We start from the raw sequence: 27,779 nt of genomic DNA on the forward strand, positions 1-27,779 counted from the left end.
TCGCTTACCTGCATTCCCCTCCAATTTCATCCTCATCATTGTCACTGCACTTCTCATACTGAAGCAGCATCCAGTGTTCATAGGACTGCCTTCCCCATGTAGGGGACTCATCAAGGACCAGGACCTTGCCTCACTCTGATTCTACCTCCAGAACTAACGGAGTTCCAGTCTTGGAGTCAGTACTCAAAAAGGGTGACTGAATAGAATTGAACTGGTTGTAAGCAATGCACCACGTGAGTGTAAACACACAGGACTACAGCTTTATCGAGGTGCAAGTTTCAAGAGTGGCAAAAAAATGAGACCAAGTTTATATGCTCTATCTGCGCTCATTCAAGGGCATTGACGGGTTCTAGATTTGTTTCACTTAATTTTATGTTTTTTTTTTCTTTCAGTCATTCATTGAACACACTAAATGAGCCCCAGTGGAGTCAATATTGAAACTGCACAATAACCGTGTACACTTTGGATCTGTCCTCTTTCTAGGACGGTCCATGGTCCCATGTCACTGTGATGACCTACTTCAGAGTGCTGCTGGCATCTTAGAGGACAGGTTTTAGTAACTAGCAAAGTCATGGACCAATAGGAAGGCCTGAGAGGAATGTGTAAGAAAAGCAATAGAAGAATGGAACTTGGTGGGCCATGAGTACAAACATCTCATTTTTTTAAAACAACTAAAAAAGGAGGCAGGGCACAGGGATGAGATTGATCACTTTTCTGGACTACACGTGCATGTACTTCACAGCATTGTGCTATAGACTCTCCAAGGATTTCTTTCAATCTGATAAATGAGCTATTTTCCTTTAGCAATCTGAATTTGGATAAGAAAGCTTACAGGATCTAGAATCCACTATTATTGTCAGTCCCATAAGCCTGTAACCCTTGGACACTGAGAAATGCTATTAACAGCACTTGCCATTTGAGTGACATTCAGGTACCATGTACTGCACAGAGTGATTCTATCATTTAACTTCTTAAAGTTTCAAGTCATCCAAAAGAAATATGCTCCACCTACTGAAGTTGCAGTATTTAACAAATGACAATTTTCTGCCTGTCTTGCCCCAGGAGCACCAAATATTTGAATGCAAAATTTTCATAAGAGCATGAGACAATTTAATACATTTATAGAATTCTTTAAAGAGAAAGAGAGAGAAAGGAAAAAAAAAAAAAAAACCAAACCAGTGTCCCTGTGATTAGTCCAGAAGGAGTGAGGGAAGCAATGGAGAAGGGGGAGTGAAGAAGAGGTGGAAGGTGACTGCTGAAGGCTTTCGTGATTACCAAAATTCCATTGGCTAGTTCCCTGTTTGCACCTTTGCATCCCTTTATTCGTGGTCTCACCATGAAAGCTACCACCTGCTAGAGAAACAGACTGGGTGCAATCTACAAAGGAAATGTTTCTGGTTTCTGGTTTAATGCTAAAGTTATGTCCAGATTATCTAGTTCTAGGCCCTGGAACACTACTGGTTAGTAAAACACTTGCTTACAAAGAAGGTTCCAAATTTTATAAAAGCATATAACATCTCCAGCAGGCAGAAATATCTGTCTACCTAAGAGATGCTAGAATTACAGACCACGAAAGTATCCTCCAATTACACTTCAGATTTAAAAAAAGTGTGATCTTCGAGATTTGCAGACATTTTTGCAATTTATTGTCTTTGTTTCTGTGTTAGTCACATGAAATGGGTCCTTATGTCATAGGAACAAGGTTTTTTTTTTTAAATTTTTCAATGAAAGATGATTTAAAACATGAAAATGTTTTCTTTTTAAAACCAGTCTTTCTGTTTGACAGCACCAACTGGTTTGAGTCTAAGTACCTTTCTAAAACATTCTTGATTTGTTGTACAGATTTATATCTTTTCATGTTTCCTCTCATCATTAAGCCAATTATGAAGGAATTATTACCTTTGCCCAATCTGATTTTTTACGGACTTCATTGAAATAGTCTCATCACTCACAATCTACTCATGAGATTGGTCCATTGCCCAGAAGTGCACAAATGATATTTCTGATGAACTCCCATTAGCCTTAGAGGAGTTGCCGGTACACATATGATCCTCATCAAGAGATGAATATAGACTTCTATATATTTGAACATGGTAATAGGTCCTTTCTTGCAAAACTGTGACCTACTGCTCTTCATTCACATGGTTGTTAGCTGGTTAAATTTAGCCAGGTTTTGTATTTCACTGATATCCCATGTGAATTATTAGGAATCAACTCCCTAACATCAAGTCTTACAACTCTGTGTTCAAAGAAGAAACATCTTTGAAATCTTTCGAAGCATGAATTCATTAATAGATGATATACTAAGCATTAGAACTAACTGCATGAATTTGTATCTGTTACCACGAATTTGTATAAAATAGCAGTGAGCTCCCCTTAATAAGTAATTCTTTTTAATATTGCTAATCAAAACATTTTAATTCTGTTATTAAAATAGCAGCATGTGTTTGACCCAGTTGTGCCTAACTTATCATTCCTCAATAAGAACGAACTTTTTTTTTTCCTTCGAAAGGAAGTTTATAAATATGCTAGGCACATATTTCCAAGTCTTAATTTAAAACCAATGGCTATAATACGAGCTACAAAAATGAAACGTTCCTCATTTGGAGCCATAATTCAGAAAAGGGGTTATTTTACAAAGGCTTAGAAGCCATATATTTTATAGTTTCTTAGACATCAAAAATGAATTGTTTGCAAAGAAATTCATAATATATGCTTCAGGCTATTTTGGCAAATGGAGAGTATTGGGAAGATCTAATATATAGACAGATATAAACATATATCTAGATAGATATTTAGATAGATAGATACATGCATACATACATACATACATACATACATATATAGATATTGCCTATGAACACTTTTCTAAATAACACCTGGGGTGCACACTCAGGAACATAGATTACGTCAGCTCCTTGACTTGGCTGCAATGTTACTCAAAGCAGAAAAATAGACTTTTTGAAAGAACTTTTCTTTTTCCCACTTAGGTTTTCAAACAATAGCAGATTTCATAGTTTTAATATGAACAAAGTCTGCTCGATCCTTCAAAGTTACATTAAAAAGACAATTGCTGATCTACCTAAGTTTGTAAACAGGTAATTTTAGAAACATTATGGTAGCTGTAAAATATTTTTTCAATTGTTTTTATCATTGCTATAGTTTTTGGCTTGATTAGTCAATAACTTAGCAAACCTTGAGGTTCACAAAGTTGTAAAATTCTGAATTGAGGCTTCAGGAAATTTATTTGGTTTTCATCAGCATACAAATAGATAATTGCTCGTTTTGGGACAGAAATACTTTACAACTAAAGTACTTTCCCTCGGAGGAAATCGTACTGTCATTTGTTTTTATTTTCAAAATGAAAACAAATGGCACTATAATTCCTAAGGGCAAAAATGACTTCAGTCTATTTCTTTTCCTATACACTCTCATTTATTCATTTTTAGTTAGATGGAATATAGATATAGTCCCCACCCACCCCCCATCCCCATGACTTCCACTGCCACAAAATGTATTCAGTCGCTGTACAGTAATTAACAGCTCTTGACTGGAAAACTGCCAGCATGTACAACGTGACACTCTTCCTTTGAACACTAACAAAGTGCATAAGTAATTTATGTTGGATTAAATATCCCTAACAGGGACCCTTAAGTAACCCAATCACTTTAAACAGGCTCCACATGCATGCTCCTGTGCAGTGAAAATGTCAGACAGTGATAACCCACTAATAGCACAATTCTAACTATATTCCAGCCATTAGCATTTTATGACATCAATCCTCATTAAACCTGGCAAGGAAAAAGATACTAATGTTTCCCAATTTTACAGACAAGGTGGAAGAGAAATGGAGAAAATGTAGACAGGTGCTGTCTCCCAAAAAGGATTAACATTTTTTAAAATGTGGTAGCAATTTTCTGTTAGTACCTTTGTTTGCATTGAAAGAGACAACAAAGAGGTAATGGCTACAAGGACCTCGATGGAATCCAGCCAAGAGTGAAAGAAAAGACTGGTATTTCAGCCATTGTGCTCACTGCTAAAGCACTGTGCCAACTCATCTTCCAACCCATTATATGAAATTTAATTTAACCTGCTATGCAATTAATTCAGATGTTCAGCCTATTTTTCTCATGGCAGAATCCCTCACACAATGCCTTATTTAAATATTAATCAGTCCTCTTTCAATTAGGACTAATTTGCTTCACAGGGTTTCTCTCATCTTCTGATTGCAGGAAAATGGAGGTAACTTGCAACGTTTGAGGATAATTAACATGGTATTTTTATAATACTGATACATCAAATGGGACCTTAATGAACCCCGCTGATTCCATTTAGTAAAGCATGCCTCAAAGTTATAATCAAGAGGAAAGCCATTGCCATCTGTTTAAAATACTAAGGAGCACAATTTAAACACAAAATGCTTATTTCTCTAAACTGTCTATTGTAGAGGTCTGCAAAAGTCATTTTTCTATGCAAACTAATTGTACAGTATTTTAATTTAAACCTTTTATTGCACATATACAAAACAGTGACATCTTAAGATGTAGGGGCCCTGTTTAATTAAATGTTGACAACCACAGAAATAAGTAATGTTTGTTAATGTTACTTCTCTTAAGCGCACTGCACAGTTGCTGCTAAAGTAATGGTAGTAAGTTGTACATTGCTAATGAATCTAATATTTCCCAGCCTTTTATTTAATATTTGAAGAACTTTTCTTAACAAAAGCCACTGAAGCTCTACGAAATGGAAAAACATAAGCATACGCGCTCGTTTGCTGCTTCTAACGTCACTAAGTAAACAGGTTAACATTTACACATGGCCAGTTGTTCACAAAGTGTTCCATCTGCTTCCAGGCAGGTTGAAGGTCAATGTTTTAGGCTTTGAGCTGTTCTAGAGTTCCTTGGTAACATCTAGGTTACTGAGGCTACTGGCTCCCGAGGTCATTATCAAAGCATTCAACATGTTCCAACGGTAATAAAACATGATTGATAACAGACTGCTTATTTACAATGTTTACACTATGGCCACAAGGATTTCCTCTGTTAACTTTTGGAAAAGTAGGCATTACCTGTGTGTGTTTTCAATGGGAATCAGAATTTCCTCTCATTTTTTCTATAAAGCTTTTCTATCCACATACTGAGTCATTGTGTCAGAAACATCATACATCAGAATTTCATGGCAAAAACACATCTAAACATTTGATATGAAGTATCACATTCATATTAATTGTTAGTCAATCAATACAATTATCAACTAAGATGTATTTGCCATATGCAGAGAAAAAATTATTGGGGGTACAAAGAAGTATAAGCAATTTTCCACTTTGGAGCCCAGTTGGTATGACACATTCCAGTTGGGTATGACAGGTGAGCAAGAAAGACCATAGGTGTGAAAAGAACAAGGAAGAGATGAATTAGATTGGAGGAAGGGGATTAGATTAAGGCATTATAGAAAATAATAACTCACACTTAAAGTTCTGATATTTCATTAGTCTCAACTAATGGCACATTGAAATTGTTTATGTGTTGGTTACTTCATTGAGCTTGAAAACTTCTAGGACAAGATGTACAAGTTTCTCATCCCAGTGCCCATTGCAGGTGCCTATGTTTCACACCAACTGGGCATACATCAACCATTTATTGATTTTATATAAGATTCATGTGCTTAAGTATTTGGCCAATACTTAACTGAGCACACGCTATGTTCCAGGCGCTGTTCTAATCATTGGGTATAAATTAGGGAACAAAAAGATGGGGCATGTATATCCCTGCTCTCAAGGAGCTTAAATTCTAGTGGGGAGAGGCAAACAAGGTCAACCAACAAATGGGAAAACTTCCAAGCACACAGATCTATGAAGAAAGCAAAGCAAGATGTAAGGATTGAGATTGAATAGTGAAGATGTTTTAGACTGGGCAATCAAGGAAGGCCTCTCTGAGGAGGTGACATTTAAGCTGAGAATTGAATGACAACAAGCTAGCTTCAAGGAAGATTGTTCCAGACTGAGCGAGCAGGTTGGGCTGTGACCCTGAGGTGGGAATAAGTTTGGCCTATGTGAAGGACATTAAAAATAAACTAATAAATAAACCAGAGAAAAATACAAAATGAGATTGGAGAGATGGAAAAGGTCTGGAAAATGCATGGTCTTGAGTACATAAAGAGAAATTGGATTTTCCCCCTCAGTTCAATGAAAAGAAACTAAAGATTTGTATGTGAATCAGTGGCATCATCTGACTTAATGCTTAATGTTTTCTCTCTCTATCTTCTGGGTGAAAAAGGGATGGTAGGGGAGTAAGTGGAAAATCAAGGAGACTAGTTAGAAAGCCTCTAAAGCAATCCATACGAGCTGCACTCATGGTTTGGCTAGAGCAGGAATATCAGAAATGGAGAGGAAGAGATGGACCCAATATGGGAGTGAAGGAGAAGTGATGTGAGATTCAAGATGACCTTAAGGATGTAGCCCTAAGTAACTAGGATGGAAATACTGGGGAAAGAACAGTTTAAGGAAAAAGTCTAGAGTTCTCTTACGGCCACTTTAAGTTTATAGTGGAGCTGTGACACAGTAAAATCAAATAACAGAAATAATGTCCAATGTTACTTAAAATTTTAATATTTACTATTATATTAATGACACATTGAATAATTTCTTTCATATTCACTATTATTAATGACTCCACCAACAAACATTGTTTTCAGTTTTGTGACAGCTCCTTCTTTGCAGTCTTCAGAGGACACCCCGCAGTCTGGTGCCTTGGAACTTCTGCCCATGCCATCACCTCCAATTGCATTCCTCCTTCTTCACCTATACCTCTGGCTAATGCCTGCCCTTTCTTTAATAATAATGAAACTCTGACATTTAGGATTGCTTTGTGAGTCCAGGCAATGTGTTAGGTGCTTCAATTACACCATTTCACTTAAAGCTCATGGATACCCTCTAAGGTCAATGTTATCTCAATTTTATATAATAAGAAACTGCTGGGCACAGTGGCTCACGCCTGTAATCCCAGCACTTTGGGAGGCTGAGGCAGGTAGATCTCTTGAGGCCAGATCTCTTGAGGTGGGTAGATCTCTTGAGGTTTCTTAAGAGACCATCCTGGCAAACATGGTGAAGCCCTGTCTCTACTAAAACTACAAAAAATTAGCTGGACGTGATGGCAGGCACCTGTAATCCCAGCTACTTGGAGGCTTAGGCAGGAGAATTGCTTGGACCTGGGAGGCAGAGATTGTTGCAGTGAGCCAAGATTGTGCCATTGCACTCCATCCTGGGCCACAGAGTGAAACTCCAACTCAAAAAAAAAAAAAGAAAAGAAAAGAAAACAAGAAAGAAAAAAAGAAACCAAGGCTAAGAGAAGTTAAGATTCAATTTGGATATCTCTCTTAAGAAGCCTCTCCTCGTGGCCAAAACTTGGCTATGCCCATACTCCTCTTAATTCCAGAGCATGACTCTCCCATTGTGAGTTGGACAGGATTTAAAACATGGTCCCCAAATTCTTTGACACTCCTCCTATGAGATCCTAGAAGGCTCACTCACCATTCTATTGCCAGGCTGGTGCCCCTAGCACACAGTAGGCACTCAGTGAAAAACACATGCTAAAAATGAACTGTCTACAGTGGTTACAAGTTGCTGGCAGAGGGAAGAATGGGGAGATACCAGAGGATGCAGAATTTCAGTTGGGGATGATGAAAACTTTGAGGAGATGAGTGGTGGTGGATGGTTGCACAACAGTGTGAAAGTACTTAATGCCACTGCACCTGCACACTGAAAAATGGTTTAAATGGTAAATTTCATATTATGTGAATTTTTCCACAATAATAAAAAGGTCGATGCCCAGTCGCCACTATTACAAGAAAGGAGGGATCAGCTAGAATTTATTCCAGACATAAATGTAAATGTTTGCTAAGGTATGAGTTAGGACAGTCTATCACCAAGAAAAGTGGTCTTAGTCGAATTGGGGCAAACCATATTATATATCCAATCTCTCCATCACGTCAGGGGAAGGGAACTATTTCCGACAGAGCCCACACTGGAATGTATTTAAAGACTGTGTTCACAGCCTAACCTCTTGAGTGATCTATTCTAGAGAATGTGTTTTCTGGTAGCAAGAACATGTGGGGCTGCTCCTGTGACCTTAGCAGATAGGGCGGCCTCAACATAGACACTGACAGTAATTTCTTAGCTGCTCCTGCCCTTTCAGACTGAAAGTCCTTGGAATCTTCAGGGAAGCACACTGAAAGAAAATGTACCCAAACAAAAATCTGCAAGTGGCCAAGATTTTGCCTTGCACATGCACCATCCATAAAGGGACCTTCCAGGTATCCTCCCCAACGAGTTCCCATCAGACTGACGGAGGCTGACTTCTTGAAAACCCTTCCTGCAATATCGAGGAGCTCTTCCTGGTCTCCCATCCAATTGCTTATCCCGTGCAGTTTGAGAGATTGTATCTGTCTCACAGTTTAAAGATAGAACAGCTGCCAACAGTCCCAAACGATCATTAATAAGTTAACCGTTACCAGATAAGATTGAAATCTATGCCAGTCCTATTTTAAAGTAATCTCTATGATAATTACTACACAAACTGCTACCCAAATGCCAGCGCTGACGCAAGAGCGAGGGGGTGAGGTTAGGCATCTACTCCCAGCTCAACTGGAGAATATAGCCTTATCCAGATATCCTTCCCTATCCCCACCCTGTCCCCCACCTCCACCCCCACGAAGAGCAATATCCAATGCTTAAAATGGATTACCAGTGAAAGGTGACACTTGACACAACTTCCTATCTCCTTTAAAATGAAAACAGAATGGCTTGGTCCTGTCTGTCTGATGCTTTCGTCCAAGTCCAGTGTTGAGCAGGAAAGCCCTGGAAGACAGCTGAAGAGTTCTCTGCACCCTCACTCAAGAAAACCCAAGGTGAATTTCTAAGCAGCATCTCACCTTCACCTCACCAGCTCACCATCATCCCCTTTTGCATTTGGATGTTTGAGAGTAAGGGAAGAAAATGGCAAGTTAGAGAAAGAAAAGGCAATAATAATTAGAACAAATACCTACACGGCTCTCATTATGTGCCAGGTGCCATTCAAAGGCCTTGCAAAGAAGCTCATTTTGTCCACACAGCAACCCTACGGGGTAGGAATGAGTATCATCCCCATTTTATAAGTGAGCAAATTGAGACACACAGAAGTTAAGAACCAGCTCAAAGTCTCAAGGTCAGGAAGTGGAAGGGAAGGTGGAAAGAGGGGAAGAGCAGGGCCCTGGGAGGAGACGCTCTGGAGGTGCTCTGATCCTCCCAGGTGTGGGCGGAAGGAAAGCCACAGGGAATGGGGCAGCACACCTGTCTTTCTAACTGCACCGCAACCACCCCAGTTTATCTTGAGTGCCACTTTCACAGAATGTTACCATGCTCATTAGCCTACTCTGGTACTAAATTTGTCTAACTAGATTTCAGCTGGAAAAAATACTAAATTACTATCCATAAAAACATAAATCCATAAACTTAATCCAATAAAACAACAGATTTTATTGCTAAGCAACATAAATGTGTGTAGATGAAAATTAGAGCCAATAATTTAATGCAAGTTATGGTGACTACAGCAAAACAGTAATTCCCAAATTATGTCTACCTTCCATTCCTTATTTTTCAGAGACAGGATCTTACTGTGTTGTCCAGGCTAGAACACAGTGGCTAGTCACAGAGGCAATCACAGCTCACTGCAGCCTCCAACTCCTGGGCTCAAACGATCCTCTGTGTCAGCCTCCAAAGTAACTGGGGACTACAAGTGCATCGACGCCCGACACCAATTTTTAATATTTGCTTAAGCAAACAAACAGAAGCCATGCATTTCATTGCTAACATCTAATCTCTCAGAGCCTATAAATAACCACTCAATTTTTTTTATCAGTTATTTATTTACTCAACAAAACATTTAGTGAAAAATATTGTGTGCTGAGGGTGCTAGACACTCAGGCTGCAAAGCCAAAAATGTCCTGAAAATAATTTTTCTTTTTAGATCAGTGATCATAGAGAAATAATCATAATAACAATAATGATGATGAAACAATGATGGTGCAAAGAAGGACAATGACAGCTCACACTTACAGTGGTTACCATGTGCCAGCCAGAGGGCACTGTTCTAATTGTTCACATATGTGAACTCATTTAAGCTATTGTGACAGCACTATGAGGTGGTTACTATTATCCTCACTTTACAGAGGAGGAAATGGCCCAGAGAAGTCATGTAACTCCCCTTGACCACACAGCTTCAAGAGGTCAAACTGTCCTGCTGGCCCAGGCACTAACTCCAGCATTTGCCTCTCATCAGCACATATAGTTGTTCCCCTAGCAGTTGTATTCAGAGTATTCTCGAAGCTCAGGAAAAGAAAAGCAGGTCAGACTTAGGTAGTGGGTAGGGGATATTAGAAAAGCTTCCAGGAGGAGGTGCTCTTTGAGTTGAATATTTAAGTATGAATAAGAGCAATGAGGTGAAAAGGACGGGTGTGGGACGTTCTTTACTCTTGGGAAGGAAATGCAGTATCTAAAGGCATGAAGAATAGCTGATCCCCTTTGGAAACTATATCGTTTGCCAGAGATGGACTGCAGATGACATTTCAAAGAACAGTGAGAGAGGCCCAGAGACTCTGGCCTCTCATCCCTGCAACGGCCTCTTGTCTCACTCAATGAGGGGAGACTGTGTTATCTCTACTGTGTCTTATCCTGCATTTTATTGAAAATTCTTTTGAATTTTTAACAATTTCAGGACCTTGTTAGTCTCACCAGAGAGTTAAAATTGTAGACATCCTAAACACACCTATGTCCAAACCCTCTACCCAACAGTTAATCTATGTGTAATGGTGAGGCTCCTCCTGAAATTATCCATGAAAATACCATCAATCAATCAAACTAAGTTACATTCAGATGTATTAGGTAATTCATCCATCTTTTTCTATAGTATCAGTGTTTATAGATGAAATTGTTTTATTCATTACTGGTCTTAACACTGATCTCACTGATTCTTCATACATTTGGGGTATGTGTGTATGTGTGTGACTATGATGTTATTTGTCTTAATAAGGTCTGTGACAAACAGATTGCTTTATTTTTGCAGATAATAAGATAGAAAGTCATCTTTCTGTCTTTTACAAAAACATAGACCCCGTGTGTGTCTAATCCTTCCTTAGCCTTCATGCATTTCTCCCCTTCATGAAGAGGCCTTCAAAACAATGGTCTTTCTGGATTAATATCTGGCAATTCCTTATATGACCTGGAATGCGTGTCAAGAGCTGCTCATAGTTTGACTACATGGGCTTTTTTGGGATATTATTCAGTCATTTTCTCATCTGTCAGAAATATCCTACCTTGTGAATCCAGATGGCGTTTGTATTGAAAGGTTAAAACCCAACTATCAGAAGCTCCAATGTTTCCAAGCTCCTTTTTTTTTTTTTCACTTTTCCTTCTTTATCTTGGCCCTCTCTGTTTGATTACATCCTTGCTTGTTTTTTCACACATTATCAAATGTTGGTATATTTCCTTTTGGATGTTTCCTGAATGTCTAACTTTTTAAATATATTTTTGAATTTTGTCTCAACTGCCCACTTCCCTGCTTCTCTCTTTCTTAAGGTCCTGGTAAAATTCAAAGTAGAGTCAGATTGTCAGTCTACTTACTCTCATGTTCCTCCTGTGAACTGTTAGGGCTATGTTATAGTACTCGCAATTCTGTACTTAAAACAATAAAAACAAAATAAAACTGCTTTTTCTCCTCTTTGGGTCTACATATTTCTTCATTCTCTTTGTTAATTCAGAATTTTCTGTAATCCCAGCCCTTTGGGAAGCCAAAGTGGGCAGATCACACGGTCAGGAGTCTGAAACCAGCCTGGCCAACATGGTGAAACCTCATCTCTCCTAAAAATACAAAAATTAGCCGGCCGTGGTGGCAGGCACCTGTAATCCTAGCTACTTGGGGGGCTGAAGCAGGAGAATTGCTTGCACCTGGGAGGCGGAGGTTGCAGTGAGCCGAGACCATGCCATTGCACTCCAGCCTGGGCAACAGAGCGAGACTCCATCTCAAAAAAAAAAAAAAAAAAAAATTTGTACTTTTTCTTCTTCAGCTATTATCCAAACAAGCCACCCTTCCTTTCTTAAGATCCTGAAAAAACATCAAATGTGTGTGTTCATCTATTTTGTGTTAATGTTGAAAAAGTATCATGAAATAGTAACATTACACAGGACAATAATAAAATCAGAGGGCTCCAAGACAGTTTTAGAGAACATCTAGTGTCTCTATGACTTTTGAAATGCCAGACTTCCCTGTGGAAGAATTTCCTGACAGTGACACTAATTAAATCCTGAATTAGGTATCCAACATGAATTTTATGTGTATCTACTTTAATCATATGCCATAGTTAAAATGGTAAACTCAGGCAATTTATTTTAACTGAAGCCTTTAAAATATTACATTTCGATCTGTCATAACAGTTAACATATCATTTTTCTATAAAGAAAGAAACTAAGTTCCTTTCATAATTTATGGCTACCCGAACACAAAGTTGAGGTGGGAGTTTTCTAAACTTTCATGAATCAAATAAATGCCTATACAAGACTAGTAAGGCAGATGACAATTAAATAGCAGCAGCAACACAGTTAGGTTTGGTTTGGTTTTATTATAATCAGAAATTTGTTCTTTGCTTGTGATATCTCCTTTCTTATGTAGAGCTGACACATCAACATTTTTCTCACATTCCATCTGAGATTTTCAGCCAATAGTATCATTTTTCAATAACAACAGTAGCTGTTTCAGAGAGATTATACTACTTACTTTTCCTCATTTTGATAAGGCATAAACCACAAATGTCCTTAAAAGTTCAGGTTCTCCTTGGCACCCATGAAATTATATTAGAATTTTCAAGTTGGTAGAAACCTGGATTCGATGAGATTTGCTATCTCCCCAGGCTCGCTAATTAACAGGAACCCTGGAGACAGGACGCTTGGCTCTTGGGCTGGTGCACTACCCCCACAGCACTGGCTTCTGCCATCTTGGGCACTTTTGACTTTTTAAAAAATAATGTGTACTTATTTTCCCTTGGGTTAGCTCCGTTTTGAAGTCAGCAAGTTGACTGATAAAATGGCAGCAAAAAGGGACAGCGTCCTGCTCTCCTGCAGCCTGCCCCGCGATGCGGGAGCAGTGTGATGTGATGAAATCTCACTGGACTCGGGGAATGCCAGTAATTCTTAGACAGCTCCACACCAGCTTTGGCCTCAGGCAAAGGCACTTAGATTCTCCAGGATTTTGTTTTCTTCATCTACCAAATGACAGTTGGGCTAAATGACCTCTGACCTCCCTACCCCGCTTTAGAATTAAAACAATATTCCCAAATACACTGAAGTCACTTACGAACCACACTGTGGTAATCCTACATTATGTCAATTCACATCAATCATTCATTAGTGGACTTATCTAAAAAAGTCTGAGCCAGCCCGATTAAGCAAAGAATGTCAAACTCAACCAACCTTCATCAAATGGATTTGATATGAATTGCAAGTGTATTGTTCACATACCTTTATGACTGAAAGCAACAATTATCAAATATTTTCCAATCTTCTAATGAATCTAAAAACTGTGTATGAAGTGGAAATAACTATTGTTACACTTCCTTTCCTTCCTATTCTTTACCACGGTTGCTTTGGATTGCTCACTGTTCAGCAGTGCTCCACACTTCCCTTGGTAGTGAACAAGCAGACAGCTGAAGGAGTAAAAATTCTAGGATTTTTGTTTACATCTTCATTATTTCCCTATGCTCAATGCATTTCCCAGCTGATTTTCATGAATGCTCCCTCCTCTGTTCATCTCTTATTCCCTCTCATTATCCTTCCGACAGGATAATGTCCTTCCATTGTCCATTTTTTTCTCATTACTCTCTTATCATTACCCTAACTACTTCACTCTGGCATCTCACTAATTTCCCCTTCAGGCTAAACATTAAAGAATCCTAAACATTTCTGTAAATTATTGAAAGAGGCTTGTTTTTACCTTCAGAAAAATATCCAGCAAAAATAGAAAAGCTTTATGTATTTACTTTCTGGTTTTGGACAGAGGAGAGCTAATTTAAATAATTTTTTTTAAGTACGAGCTTGAAGAAACAACACATTATTTATTGAATTAACACTTCATAATTAACATTTGAGTTTGATTTACTCACAAAATGTTATACTCATTAAAAATATAATAATTCCAATGTTCCTTGCTTAACAGAAATTCACGGAGAATTTCAAATGTGAAAAATAATTTAATAAAAACTGTATTCTAAGAAGCATCGGCCGGGCGCGGCGGCTCACGCCTGTAATCCCAGCACTTTGGGAGGCCGAGGCGGGCGGATCACGAGGTCAGGAGATCGAGACCATCCCGGGTAAAACGGTGAAACCCCGTCTCTACTAAAAATACAAAAAATTAGCCGGGCGTAGTGGCGGGCGCCTGTAGTCCCAGCTACTTGGGAGGCTGAGGCAGGAGAATGGCGGGAACCCGGGAGGCGGAGCTTGCAGTGAGCCGAGATCCCGCCACTGCACTCCAGCCTGGGCGACAGAGCGAGACTCCGTCTCAAAAAAAAAAAAAAAAAAAAAAGAAGCATCAATTTCCTTCCATCTCAGAAAATTCAGAGATGGAATTTGCTATCTTAGACCATCAGCAGCAACTATTGAGCCCCTCAAATTAGGTACAGCAGTAACCTCCCACCCTGCCAATCATGGGCATTTTGTCAAGCTCAACAAACACTAATTTGAGTGCTAATATTCTGTGCTAAAGGCACTAATCATTAGTTAAATAAACAAACCATTTGAGTGTATAACTGTCAACAAGACCAAAACCTGCTCACAGAGGGATCAACCTCATGCCCTAGCCAACTACTGAAGTGCAATAGACCCAATTATACAGCACTGCTGAGTCACCAGGGCCACATCTGCACAGCACGACCAAAGCACACTTTGACTAGAAAGTCCAAGGGTAGTTCAGGAAGAATCAAATCAGAACTGCCTTTAGAGCCCCAAGCTACTCACTGCCTTAGGAGCTGGTGCTGCCTCTGGGCTTGGGATGGCCCCGCCTCTCTGACCCTCCCACTCCCCTCACTGGTCCTTTCTTCCTGGCTCCTGGCTCCTTGGCTGAAAACAAAACAAAAAACTGTGAGCAGGACACACCCTTGCTTCAAAGCCTCCATTGGCCCTCAGGAACCAGGTGAGGTCAAAATAAGCTTTAGCATCAGTTGGGACCTGTCACAATCCTGTGCTCCCATCACTCACTGGCAGGGAGACCTTTGACCATCAGCAGGAGGCACTTCATAAAAGGGACTCCGTGTGTGTGTGTGTGTGTGTGTGTGTGTGTGTGTGTGTACATGTGTAAAACATTAAAGGAGCTGGCATCGGGTGCTTTATTTCCATTTCATAAGTATTTTCATTTAATAGGTATTAAATGTACATTGTTTTCCTCCCTTTCTCTATTTAATTGATGGGTTGATTTCAAATTTCTTAATGTGGCACACCCCACTGTTACCATCTGAACCAAACTGTGTTGCTCTGGCACCTTCTTTCACTCCCCCATCCTGAGCCTCACTCAGGGGCATCAGTGTCCCCAAACTCATCAGGCAGGAGTCCGTGACCTGTTCCTATGATGCTGTTTACCATTTTTCCCCTTCAAAATGTGTACTCATTATTTAATCTCAACCTCTATGTCTTTGCAAACTCCGGTGAGCTACAGCTCCTTTCTGTCCTCACAGCACATTCATTCATTCATTCATTCATTCACTCATAGCAATTCTACTTTGTGTTTAGAAGCATGGAGGCTAGCACCAGCCAACCTGAATCAAATCCTAGCTTGACCACTCACTAGCTGTATAAACTCCAGCAAGTTCTTCATCTTTGTGCCCCAGTGCCTTTAGCTATAAATCACAGTTAAAAACGCTAGTGTCAGAATATCTGACATATGGTAGGAAAACAATAGGCATCGAAGTTAAAGGTCTTGAATTCTTGTCTTGGATCTGCCCGTTATTACAAGAGTTAATTTAGGCAAGTCGATGAAATCAACACTGTCTACCACCATCATGTTGTATGTAAAATGAGGAGGAGTGAAAGAGTCTCTCTGAGATCTCTTCTACATTTAAAATTCTAAAATTTTCTCTTAATCTGTTGATTTATAATTCCTGAGTTATGTTATGTACGTTATGTAAGTTTTCCTTGCATTAATGTGCCCATAGAATTCCTTAAAATATTGCCAGATCAAATGCAACTGAAAAGAAAATTCTCCCTAGTTTTCTTTTCTCCATATAGCGTACTCCCTTTAATTGGGAACACTTGTACTACAACCAAAGGGGTTTCTAATAAAATACAAATAGTGTCCAAGTATTAAAGCATTCTGATCGCTACATAGTAAAGGGTTACGAGCCAAAAAAATCCAAGATTACGGGAATCTGATATTCATGGGTGTTTGCACTGCATGTCAAGGAGCCCTGAGTATTGCCTGTCAAGAATCAGAAGTTCTTCAACCAAACAGCATTTCCTCTCATTCACATCTACATTAATATCCTTCAAATATGACTACTTAATACTGAAGTCAGAACGCCATTTCAGAGCTTACTGAATCAAAGACTTTTACAGCCAGAGGGAACTTTAGCATTTTAAAGATAAATATGCTCCGTTTTTGTCAGATACCACCTTTGTATATTAATCCATAATCTTAACAAGGGAGGAACAACTGAGAATAATTTACTTCTTTATAGGAACTATTTGCATTTTTATTATTATGCAAAAGCATGGGAGGATCTAAAGTATCACACAACAGGTTCTCCACAAATTCATCTTTGCTGATTGTCAAGTCCATACACCTAGTTCTTATAACATAGCTTGTAATTTAGTTCCATGTTTCTAGATGTCTACATCTAATCTTATTTGTAAAGTCATCATATAGCTGAAGCCATAAATGAAGTGTGACTCTAAAGTAATATAGCTAATTTTTAAGTAAATATTGTATACCAGAACTTTAACATGGGTATTAACTAGTCCTTTTTAAGGCACTAAAGTTATCTTGAGAGTGTTCTTTTATATTGTAAATTAGTAATTTATAATTGTATGTATTTATGGGGTACAATGTGATGTTATCATATACAATGTGGAATGACTGATCAAGTTGATCAACATATTAGTCACCTCACATAGCATTTTTCGTGATGAGAACATCTTAAATGTATTCTCAACAATTGAGAAATACACAGTACATTATTATTAATATAGTCACCATGTTGTAGAATAGATCTCAAAAAACTTATTCCTCTGTCTAGCTGAAACTTTGTACCCTTTAACCAAAACTCCCCATCCTCTACTTCCAGCCCCCAGCCTCCGGTAATCACCTTTCTACTCTATCTTAAAGTATTCAACTGGATCCATATTTATCTCAAAACTCTTGTTTTGAAATTACCTACTTTCTTTTCTGTGTGTGTGTGTGTGTGTGTGTGCATCTGTGTGTGTCTGTGTGTAAACTTTATTTTTCCAGTAAATGAAATTGGAGAAACTATCAAAAAGTCAACTAGATATGTGTTAAAGTACAGCAAAATGTTATGGTAGAATCTAGCTTTATTTTAAATTATGTTTGAATGTTTATTATTTATTTTTAAGTATTTTTATTTATTATTATATAATTAATATGTTTGAATATTTTCAAAATAAATTATAGGAAAAAATCAGAACTTAATAAAATAGGTAATCTATTGAGTAACAGACTGACTCTATATAATAAACTATATAGCTAAACTAATGTTCATGCATATCATGTCTCATAGATCCTTTCTCTATAGACGGTTATAGAAAAGGTGTTCCATAGTGTTTCAAACAATGGCAATACTCTCGGGTCAACTGTGTAGTGTTAAAAGGAGTATCACTTCTTTGGAGCTAGAAATTCCTGAAATTGTATTCATTATAGAGCATGGAGGCAACTTCATGACTTCCTTCACTAGCCAGAAATGCGAGATGGATGGGTAGCCCCGAGTAGTGCTATCATGCTTCCAGTACAGCGTGCCTTTTGAAAGGACTACGTAGGCAGGAATAGAGATTTGATCAAACATGTGGAACTGATTGATGCTGGCATTCAGCCCTGAATTCATTTAAATTATGATACCAAATACAGTAGAGAGGGACCAAGACTTATGAATGGATACTTCCTGCCTTTGAATGGCACTGAACCCCAAGAGGTCCCCTAAACCATAAGTCTTGCAACCACAAAATGTACTCTTCCTTTTTTCTGTTCCTTTTTCTCTTTTGGAACCCACCAAATTCTCTGTATATAGCTATTTCTCTGAGCCAGCTCTGGTGTAACACTTAAAAACCACAGAATTATGCTGGGAGGTTAGCACCCATTCCATAATAAAACTGTGAAATTGTTTCTTGTTCAGAAAAGCTATGGTGGTATCCTTAAAGGCTTCAGAAGGAAAAAAAATTCCATTTTCCCTTTCATGGCACTCATCAAAAAAAAAAAAAAAAGGTGGACGACAGCCACCAACACTGTGTGAAGCAACAGCTCTGCCAAAACTGTGAATAATTAACAGATTTGAAAATATAAGTAGCTTAAGCCAATCACACATTTGGCAGAGGTGAAAGTTGACTGTGGTAGCTTGCTACTACAAGTGCACTCTTCTTCAAAAACAAGATTTCCCACCTGTCCCTTGCTGACTACAGAGAGTTGAATCCCCATCCACATTTCCACAGGCTACGATGATGCCTCCAAAATCCTGGAGGAGACAACAGAATATTTATAACATTTTATATTCAAAGCATTTCAGAGAGTTTTCTGTAAAAGAAATTTTTATGATTTAAAGTAAATTAGCTTATTTCCCCAGAAATAGATGCTTCCTTCACCTAACATACATGATTTTAAAAAAATCTAAATCTCTTTTTTTATTGTGTTAAAATAGAGGGTTTTAAGATTCTCCACCAAGGCTCTTTCAAAATGTAACCCATTTCCTCTTCACACCTGCGTAAAGACTGGACAAAAGTTGAACAATGTATTTTAAGGATGAATGGCATCACTCACTTAAATGTCCCCTTCAAGGGAAAAATATTATAAACAACTCCTTATCAAACACAAGAAAGCATAAAAGGAAAAACCAACAGATTAATCATATGAATAATCGGCTACACACATGTTTTACTGCTTTCAAAAATTCATTTTGAATTGAAGTATTAGTCGTGGAATGCCTTAGGGCACTGAGGCTATCATTCCATTTAACCTACACATATCATTTCTCTAAGCAAAAATAGTGCACACTCACCTTGTACAGAATTGTTCTAATGTAATAAAATAATGTAATTGTTATTATTTTCCAGCCTTTCTTGGGTGAAAATTAGACTTTTTCTTCCTAGACAATTTCATTCTTTTTTTCAACTATTTACCTGTTCTTTTCTACTTTCCCATGATTCTCCTTTCTTAATTTTTACGTCCTTCATTACCTGCAGACACATCACATTTTTCTTATTATTTAAACGAGCTATATTTAGAAGCAACTGCACTGTATTTCTTTTCAAATATGAAAGAGAGTTTCACCTTTGATAGCACACATCTGTTCTTTTCTATGTTTATGTGATGGTGGTAATAAAAGATTTTTCAAAAATGCCTCAGAGCTCAAGATTTTATTTTTTAAATAATTCATAGGCAAGTCTTGTAACTGGTGCAAAAATAATTCTGCTGCTGAGACGCAAAGAAATCATGTTTGATGTTTAATAGCCAGGATTCTATTTCCTTCCCGTGGTTGTTATTTGAATAATGGTACAGTCTAGATGCATAGTAGTTTGGTCTGTAGAATACAGCAAGGTCACGACAAATTCTGGAGCATTTTCGGCCCCTCAAACATCTCTCAAGTTAAAATGAGTCCCAACCCATTGGGAGGCAAACCCAATGCATGCTCAAAACATCCAAACCAGATAAGCAAAATTCTGGGGTCCTGTGCTTCATTCTACTCCTCTCCTGCCTGAAAAAACTAGTGGTCTCTTCTAACTTAGGAAAGGATTAAGTAATAATTTAGTAGAAGCTGACTTTTATAGGACTCAAAAACAAAACTGCTGGCAGAGTACCTGTGATTATCATGGAATGAGGCCAAAATATTTGAAGAGCTTCTTTTGCCCTTGACTTCAGAGTGACTTTACCAGAATGTTAGAAGTGAAACAAGGCTCCAGCTGTGGCACCAACAAAGTCACTCAATGTGTTCTGGGCTAAGTTGGTGATATTGCCCTTCTCCTGCAATCACAAATAGTGCCTGTGTTTGCGCTCAGAGGTGACTGCCGTCCCCTGGGTTTAAGGGCTCTGTGTGTAATGACTTTTAGGAAACTATAACAGTTACAGAGACCTGCTGCTAGCTGATGATTTTTACCCTCCATGTTGCATGTTTTCATTCAATCATTCATTGGACAATAACCACCAAAACTATAATAACATAAATTCCATATTTATGGAGAGCCTACCATGTGCCAGGCCATTTTATATTCAATATACATACAATAAAAAAGTTTAAAACACTCAACTAAGAATTAATAATGGCACTGCAGAAGCTTTCTATAAATTAAATATTTAATGGGGATTTAAAAATCCCTGTTATTCATTATTTATTTCAACACAACCAAATTCTCCCAGTGCCCAAGCTGCATTAACACTTTCAGTCCTGAGGATCTTATTGGCAAGCTCCAATTTCAGAGAACTAAATAATAACCTAGGTGTTAATGAAAATCAGGATTGCAAAGGGTTCATAATTTACAAATAGGGAACAATTGTGGCACTGAAAGAACAAACACCATTTTCCTGTTAGAAAATAACACTCTAGGCCGGGGGTGGTGGCTCATGCCTATAATCCCAGCACTTTGAGAGGCCAAAGTGGGTGGATCATTTGAAGTCCAGAGTTCAAGACCAGCCTGGCCAACATGGTGAAACTCCACCTCTACTAAAAATACAAAAATTAGCTGGGCGTGGTGGCACGCACCTGTAGTCTCAGCTACTTGGGAGGCTGAGGCATGAGAATTCGCTTGAACCTGGGAGGCAGAGGTTGCAGTAAGCCAAGATTGTGCCACTGCACTCCAGCCTGGGAGACAGAGTGAGACTATGTCTCAAAAAAAAAAAAAAAAAAAAAAAAAGAAAAGAAAAAAGGAAAAGAAAAAGGACACTCTGGACATGCAGTCTAAGTAAACTGAATCATCATCCACCACGCAGTGACATGTTTTAAAAACTGCATATGCAAAGCATATATTCCATGTCTATTCACTGGTAATAATGCTCTGCACTATGGCATAGGCCAGGCTAGTGGAGAATGTGTCCATGGAGAAAGGGAAGAAGCAAGCGCTCCAGCTTTCCTGTGTTTCTGCTCACAGCTAGCAGCAGTACCTACCTGCACTCACTGTGCAAACTAATTACATGCAACAGGTTAGTTTTTATTGAACAATTCCACCAAGAATTGTTTTTTTTTTTTTTTTTTTTTTTTTTTTTTTGAGACGGAGTCTCGCTCTGTCGCCCAGGCTGGAGTGCAGTGGCACGATCTCGGCTCACTGCAAGCTCCACCTCCTGGGTTCATGCCATTCTCCTGCCTCAGCCTCCCAAGTAGCTGGGACTACAGGCGCCCGCCACCACGCCCAGCTAATTTTTTTTTTATTTTTTTATTTTTTAGTAGAGACGGGGTTTCACCTTGTTAGCCAGGATGGTCTCGATCTCCTGACCTCGTGATCCGCCCGCCTCGGCCTCCCAAAGTGCTGGGACAGGCGTGAGCCACCGCGCCCGGCTGAATTGTTCTGCAAATAGAGCCCTTAGAGACTCATCAGAGATTTTTTTTTTTTCCTAGAGACGGGGTTCCACTATGTTGTCCCGGCTGGAGTTCAGTAGCTATTCACAGGCGCCATCATAGCACACTAGAGCCTCAAATTACTGGCCTCAAGCCATCCTTCACCCTCAGCCTCCCTAGTAGCTGGGACTACAGGAATATGACAGTATGCTGGCTTGGAGAATTTCAAAGACAGAAGGGGCTTAAAAACACCATATAAGCTAATTTCAAAACATCACAGAATTCAATTACAAACAACATTATCAGAAAATTAAAATTTCTGTCTTTGCATTATGAATAAAGAATATTTATGTCTAACAGGAAAAAATTATTGCAATATAAGTTCTTGCATTTCACATGGATGTAAAAACATCCAGCCTCAATTTGGAATGATACTCAGAATAGAAACATATTCAATAGTGTATGATTGTTAGCAGTCCTTGATTATTATTATAGTAATGTACCTTCAGGACATATCTGAAGTGGAATAATCACTTTACAAAAAAACAAATACGGTTTTCCTGAAAGTAAAAAGTAATATTCTGTCTTGTTCTCAAGATCAAAATGGCCATGATCCCAAAGGCCCCATGCAGAGCTACTCAGCGCCTCAGAATAAGAAATTCTCAAAATCAGCAAAGAAAATATCTTTATATCCTGGCAGCTTTCAGTTCTAAAGGTAACTGACAAATTCTGTTCTTGACCATTATCTGTAGCAATAACCAGGAAGCTGCTGGGTTAACCAAACTATTAGATTGTGTTCAGCAATCACTCTCTGTCTGAATCTTCAGGTACCTCCCTGAGTCTGCACATCCATGAACAGTTCCATGAAAGCTCCACATTAGAACATAATAGATAATTCCCCCTTTTTTATCTGTGAAGACATTGAAACATCAGACAGTTAGAAAACTCACCCAAAAAGCATAAAACATATAAATAACAGAGCAAAATTTCTGGTCTTCTGGCTTCAAGTTAATAGACCTTCCCCCAAAAAGAAGGCAACAGAGGAAGTTTTCTTGGAAATGTTCTCATTTTTTATATTATCGGGAATGAATTGAGCCAAAAAATAAAGGGTGGGAGAAACCTATGGCTAATTTTAATTCTTCCCAGATACATTTTTAATTAATTTCTTATTTTTGTGGGTGCACAGGAGATTTGTATATTTATGAGTTACATGAGATATTTTGATACTGGCATGCAATGCATAATATTCACATCGGGTAAATGGGGTATCCATCACATCAAGCATGCCAGAAATATTATATTTTAAGTTACATCATCCATTAAAAGCAATTTGTATTTATATCATGTAAAACACTATTTATGTTTATATAAGTATGTATAAGCATAAGAGATATTAATATATGAAATATGGTTATTGAAAATAAAAATGTATTTTCGAAAAAATGTTCAAATTTACTCAAAGACATTTAAAATTAGTCATGAGCTCTTTTCAGCTAGTTTGCAATCTATTCCACTGACTCATTTTCAATGACAGTATAAGCAAATCATTTTATCTATCCATTATTATTTGGCCCGGTAATGAAAATGAAAAAAACAAACAGCTGGTGATATAAGAAAACATGCACGCTTAAAACATCTGAACTATATTTAAATCCATAATATAAGTCAGTTTGCTCTTTCAACTTAGGGACCAAAAAATCAGTTAATTAATCATTCAATTGCTAACAAATGCTACTCAGACTTCACTTGGCAACTATGTGGTCACCCCAAAAATCAATGATAATTAAGTGGCTGATCAATAAACTCTCCTCTTCGTTGGATCACAAAGACCCTAAAGTTTTATCTTCTGTTCTTTTTAACAAACTAGATAAAATACATTTTTTAATCAACATACTGGGCTGAAAAGATCTAGAACTTCAATATCTTGTTGTATTTTTTAATATAGATTAAAACCAATGTGTTAATGATCATATCTACAATACATCAAAGTATTAAATATTAGAAACTGGATTTTTTTTCGAACATTCTTCATTGAATAAGACAACCAAAGTAGACCAATAGCTAAGCAATTATTCAGCCAGCTGAAAACAGCAGTATGGTGAACCTGCCCAGCTCTCCATTTTTTCTAATCTATAAATTATTTTAAATCCCTTGTAAAAAGATTTCAATAGGATTTTAAACAATGGTTTTCAAACACTCAGGTAGAAGAGCATTTCTGCTGGCTACTGATACCTTTATGAACTCCTGAGTTAAACCACTTCTATGGATCACAGAGTGCTTTATAGTTTCCCAAAAGAAAGTGAATCTGTTTGAAATATGAGTATTTAGAAAGTTCGCCTCTCTTTTGGAATGTAGTCAAAGAAGAGAGAAGAGTGGAGTGGCGGGGGTTTCTATACTAAGCAGGCTTTGAAAATTAAAAGCACAGAAGTATATGTTCTTGTATTATATAGTCACACTAATAAAAGCAATAAAACATATCCAGGGGTTGCCTGACATGAACAATTTTATAAGCCTGGTATCGATCCCCAGATTCTTTTCAAGTGAGGTTGCTTTGCAGTAACCTATTCCCTTGTGCATTTTCTATCACTGCACTCCTAAGCCTTGTGCTAAATATAGGAGAGCTTGGAATTTCACGCATTGTGACAATTTATTGCAACTTTTGTTCTATTGTCAAAGTTTATTATCCAGTCAGAATTAACACCAGTGCACAAGGAAAGCAGATACAATGAAGCAACAGCTCCAAGTTGACAAAGCAGCTAGACTTGGAGCTGAAACTCCAAGCAAAGTTTTATTCTCCCTTCCAGGATTGTTGTTAGAATAGCATTTGTGAAAGTGCTGCATGAACCACACATGACTACTCAAATATTAGAAACGATAAGCCAGAATGAAACTCCACATATGCCATTAACTCAATACTCAACACGTTTTATTTCTTTGATCTAGTACTTAAAGAGCCATCAGATTAATGAATTAAGTAGAATCAAAATTATGTAATATTTTATTGAAATTTTTTTCTAATATAATGTTAATACTAGTTTTATTGAACTCTACGGTAAATTTTAAAGCATCAACATAAGGAGGAAAAGTCCATACTTTCACTTCATCCTAATTCCTTGTACTAATACAAACACCTAAATATGTTCTCAGGGTCAAGAGAAGCTCAAGATGACCTTCTGGATCTCACATTTGCATCACCTAACATTTGGTGTGTGTGCTAAGTATTTTTTCATCCTTTGTAATCTCATTTTGACAGAACTGAATTGTTTTTGTTTTTTATGTGAAATATCTGTAAGAACAAAAGTGAAAAAGCTCTCATTGCATTCTGCAGTATTTCACCAATATAGAAATCTCTGCAGTAATCCTGATAAAGTCATTAAATCATTCTTTGCTTTGAAGATCAATTATTCATCATCTAACATTTATGAGAGTCTATTTTATGAGAGGTGCCATGCTAGAAACTGGTCATATGAAGACTGAGACAAATGTACATATTCTCACATGCTCTATGGCATAAAAATATCAGCTGAGCTGAACTAGGTTGATTTTAGATGACTTCCAGAACACAAAATGAAGGGCTGCTGATGGCATACCCCGAACATAGGACATCAACATATAGATGGCAATTATAGTCTAGAAAATAACCCTTCATACTTACTAGGATATTAAACTGAAGAAAATGAGGCAGATTTGGTCCCTTAGAGAAGAAACAGATTTCCCACTATCTGATAAGGATGTGGTTTTCTTTACTTACTGTGTAGGTAAAAGCAGTATATGGGTTTAAGAAAATATCAAGGACAATGAATAAGTCTAGAACAATCCCTAAAACCTTCGAGATTATGTCAGATATCTCAAATAGTCATGGACGTTGCGGTATCTCCAGGATACAAGTAGAACAGATAACTTTAAAAACAAACAAAATTTTCATTTTAGTTTAAAATTGCGCCAGAAATCTTTACAGTAATTCTGATAAAGTCATTACATCATTCTTTGCATTGAAGATCAATTATTCATCATCTAACATTTATGGGAGTCTATTATATGAAAGACACCACACTAGAAACTGGTCACACAAAGACTAAGACAAATGTCCTTGTAAATATCCATGTCTCTATGCAACCTAAGTCTTAGCAAACAAATAAAGAAAATCTACTCTAAAATTTTAAAACTTTCGTAAACAATCTGGGCATCCAGCAGATGCTTTAAAAATACCTGTTGGATGGGGACTGAGTGTTTACACTTCTCACTGAAGTAATAAAATGATGCAGATGATGGAAAAAGTTGAATTGGTATTTAGACTCCCAATACTGCCCTGATTTCAGGTTTGTCTCTATTAAAAAATTAAATGGAGAAGTTTATCAGCTCTATTTAGTGAGTCAATATAATGAGCACATCTGAATGATCCTAAATCAATTTTCCTTATCAGGATATGTGTTTGCCCGAAGTTTTGACTCTCTACTTTGTCTTTTCTTTTGGAATCATATCCCTGTTAAGAATTTATATATGATGAGAAATAAAGCTAAAGGATATGATCCTACATAAGACAAAGCTTACAAAGAAAATTCTGTTTTGGATGAGATCCGAATATATGAGGAATCATCCATAACACTTTTCTCTTACCTACTTTTATACAGAAACAAGGATGCTATATTTTAAATATGTAATGGGAACACATTAAAGTATCATTATAACATTATTTTATATGTTTAAATGTTTTCCTACAATTAAACTTACAATCATGCCAAAAGTGTTTTTTCACATATTGACTTCCAATTTACTAAAGTCATTTTTCAATCAATACTTAGTGCATTTGCAAAGCATGCAGTGAGATTCTAGACTCTGGAATAGATCACTTTAATGAAATCAAATGTCACGTGTCATGTGGAAATAAATCATATTATTTATGCTTATTTATGTTAAAGGATAAATAAGCATTTACCTTCTCTGCTGACTTTTATAACTTTCTTAACTTTCAGAATTAATTCAAGTGTGGATTTTAGTTGACTATTCTTAAAACAAAAATCTCAATTTCTCCATTTACCAGAAAGCTACAAGGTGCTCTCCCCCAGCAATGGTCTTAGTTGAACTGAATTTCCATATATGCTGTTATGTTTTTACATGAGGCAACATAAGAGTTCACTGGGACCGAACTCCATTTCTGCCATTCACCAGCTGGGTGACACTGGGCAAATTGCTTAACATCTCTGTTCATTTCTTCTGATAATATTAGTAGGATTGGCAAGACATTCCTTAGCATATTAATAATATACCTCTCAAAGTGCTATGAGGATTAAAGCTGTTAATACTTGCAAAGTTCTTAGAAAAAAACCTGACACGTAGAAGCTGTAAAATAAAAAATTTTAATGTGCCCTACTTTCGTATCACATATATAGAACCAAATAACGAAAAATGAATTGTAAAATAATGAAAAAGCTTGAATAATGGAAAATGTGGTTCTAAATGGTTCAAGACTTAGATAAATCAATATTTATTTGAATTCCATATGGCAATAAAACTAATGATAATTATTATTTTCTGAGGATGCCCTTGACATTTCTTGGATGAAAAGAAATCATATATACAATCAAACCAAACATTGTTTAGGTCAGTGATAAAACTTTTTTTAAAAAAATGTTTTGCTTAAGCACAAATATGTACTCTCACTGACTAAGCCATTCGGTATCAAAATAACACCATTTTACTCACTATTTTGACTCCCCAAATTGCAGAAATCTTCTGACCCTTTCTATCTTTTAATATGTTACAATGAGAAAATATTATCTCCCATAAAACAACAAAGTCCTGCTATCCCTACTGAAAAAAACAACGGAACACATGGTTGTGTCTGCCCGTGTTCTACGGCAACCTTGCGCTCACACCACACTGCCTCTAGGATCTCAGCAGGTTTGTCTCGAAAATATATTGGTCTGCCTCAACTAGAAAAAACATAAAACATAATCTTGACTGTTGTTTCATTCCCTTCATAAGACCAATAATTCAGTTGTCTT

General features: G+C 37.5%; 1 protein-coding gene across 1 annotated transcript in view, besides 2 other annotated features; it reads right to left on the reverse strand.

Annotated features, from left to right (window-relative positions):
- Window positions 1-27,779, reverse strand: part of TOX (thymocyte selection associated high mobility group box) — a 313,736-nt gene that overhangs the window by 220,336 nt on the left and 65,621 nt on the right. The gene's annotated exons all lie outside the window — the stretch shown is intronic.
- Window positions 2,908-5,330: an enhancer, noted in NCBI's record as "VISTA enhancer hs1326". NCBI's record gives its function as "enhancer in: forebrain[6/8]" and the evidence as "EXISTENCE:transgenic organism evidence [ECO:0001131][PMID:17130149]".
- Window positions 14,870-15,070: a silencer, noted in NCBI's record as "peak7040 fragment used in MPRA reporter construct". NCBI's record gives its function as "represses an SCP1 promoter by STARR-seq MPRAs in K562 erythroleukemia cells {active_cell/tissue: K562}" and the evidence as "EXISTENCE:reporter gene assay evidence [ECO:0000049][PMID:32103011]".

This window comes from Homo sapiens, chromosome 8 (genome assembly GCF_000001405.40).
Source record: "Homo sapiens chromosome 8, GRCh38.p14 Primary Assembly".
NCBI classification, from domain to species: Eukaryota; Metazoa; Chordata; class Mammalia; order Primates; family Hominidae; genus Homo; species Homo sapiens.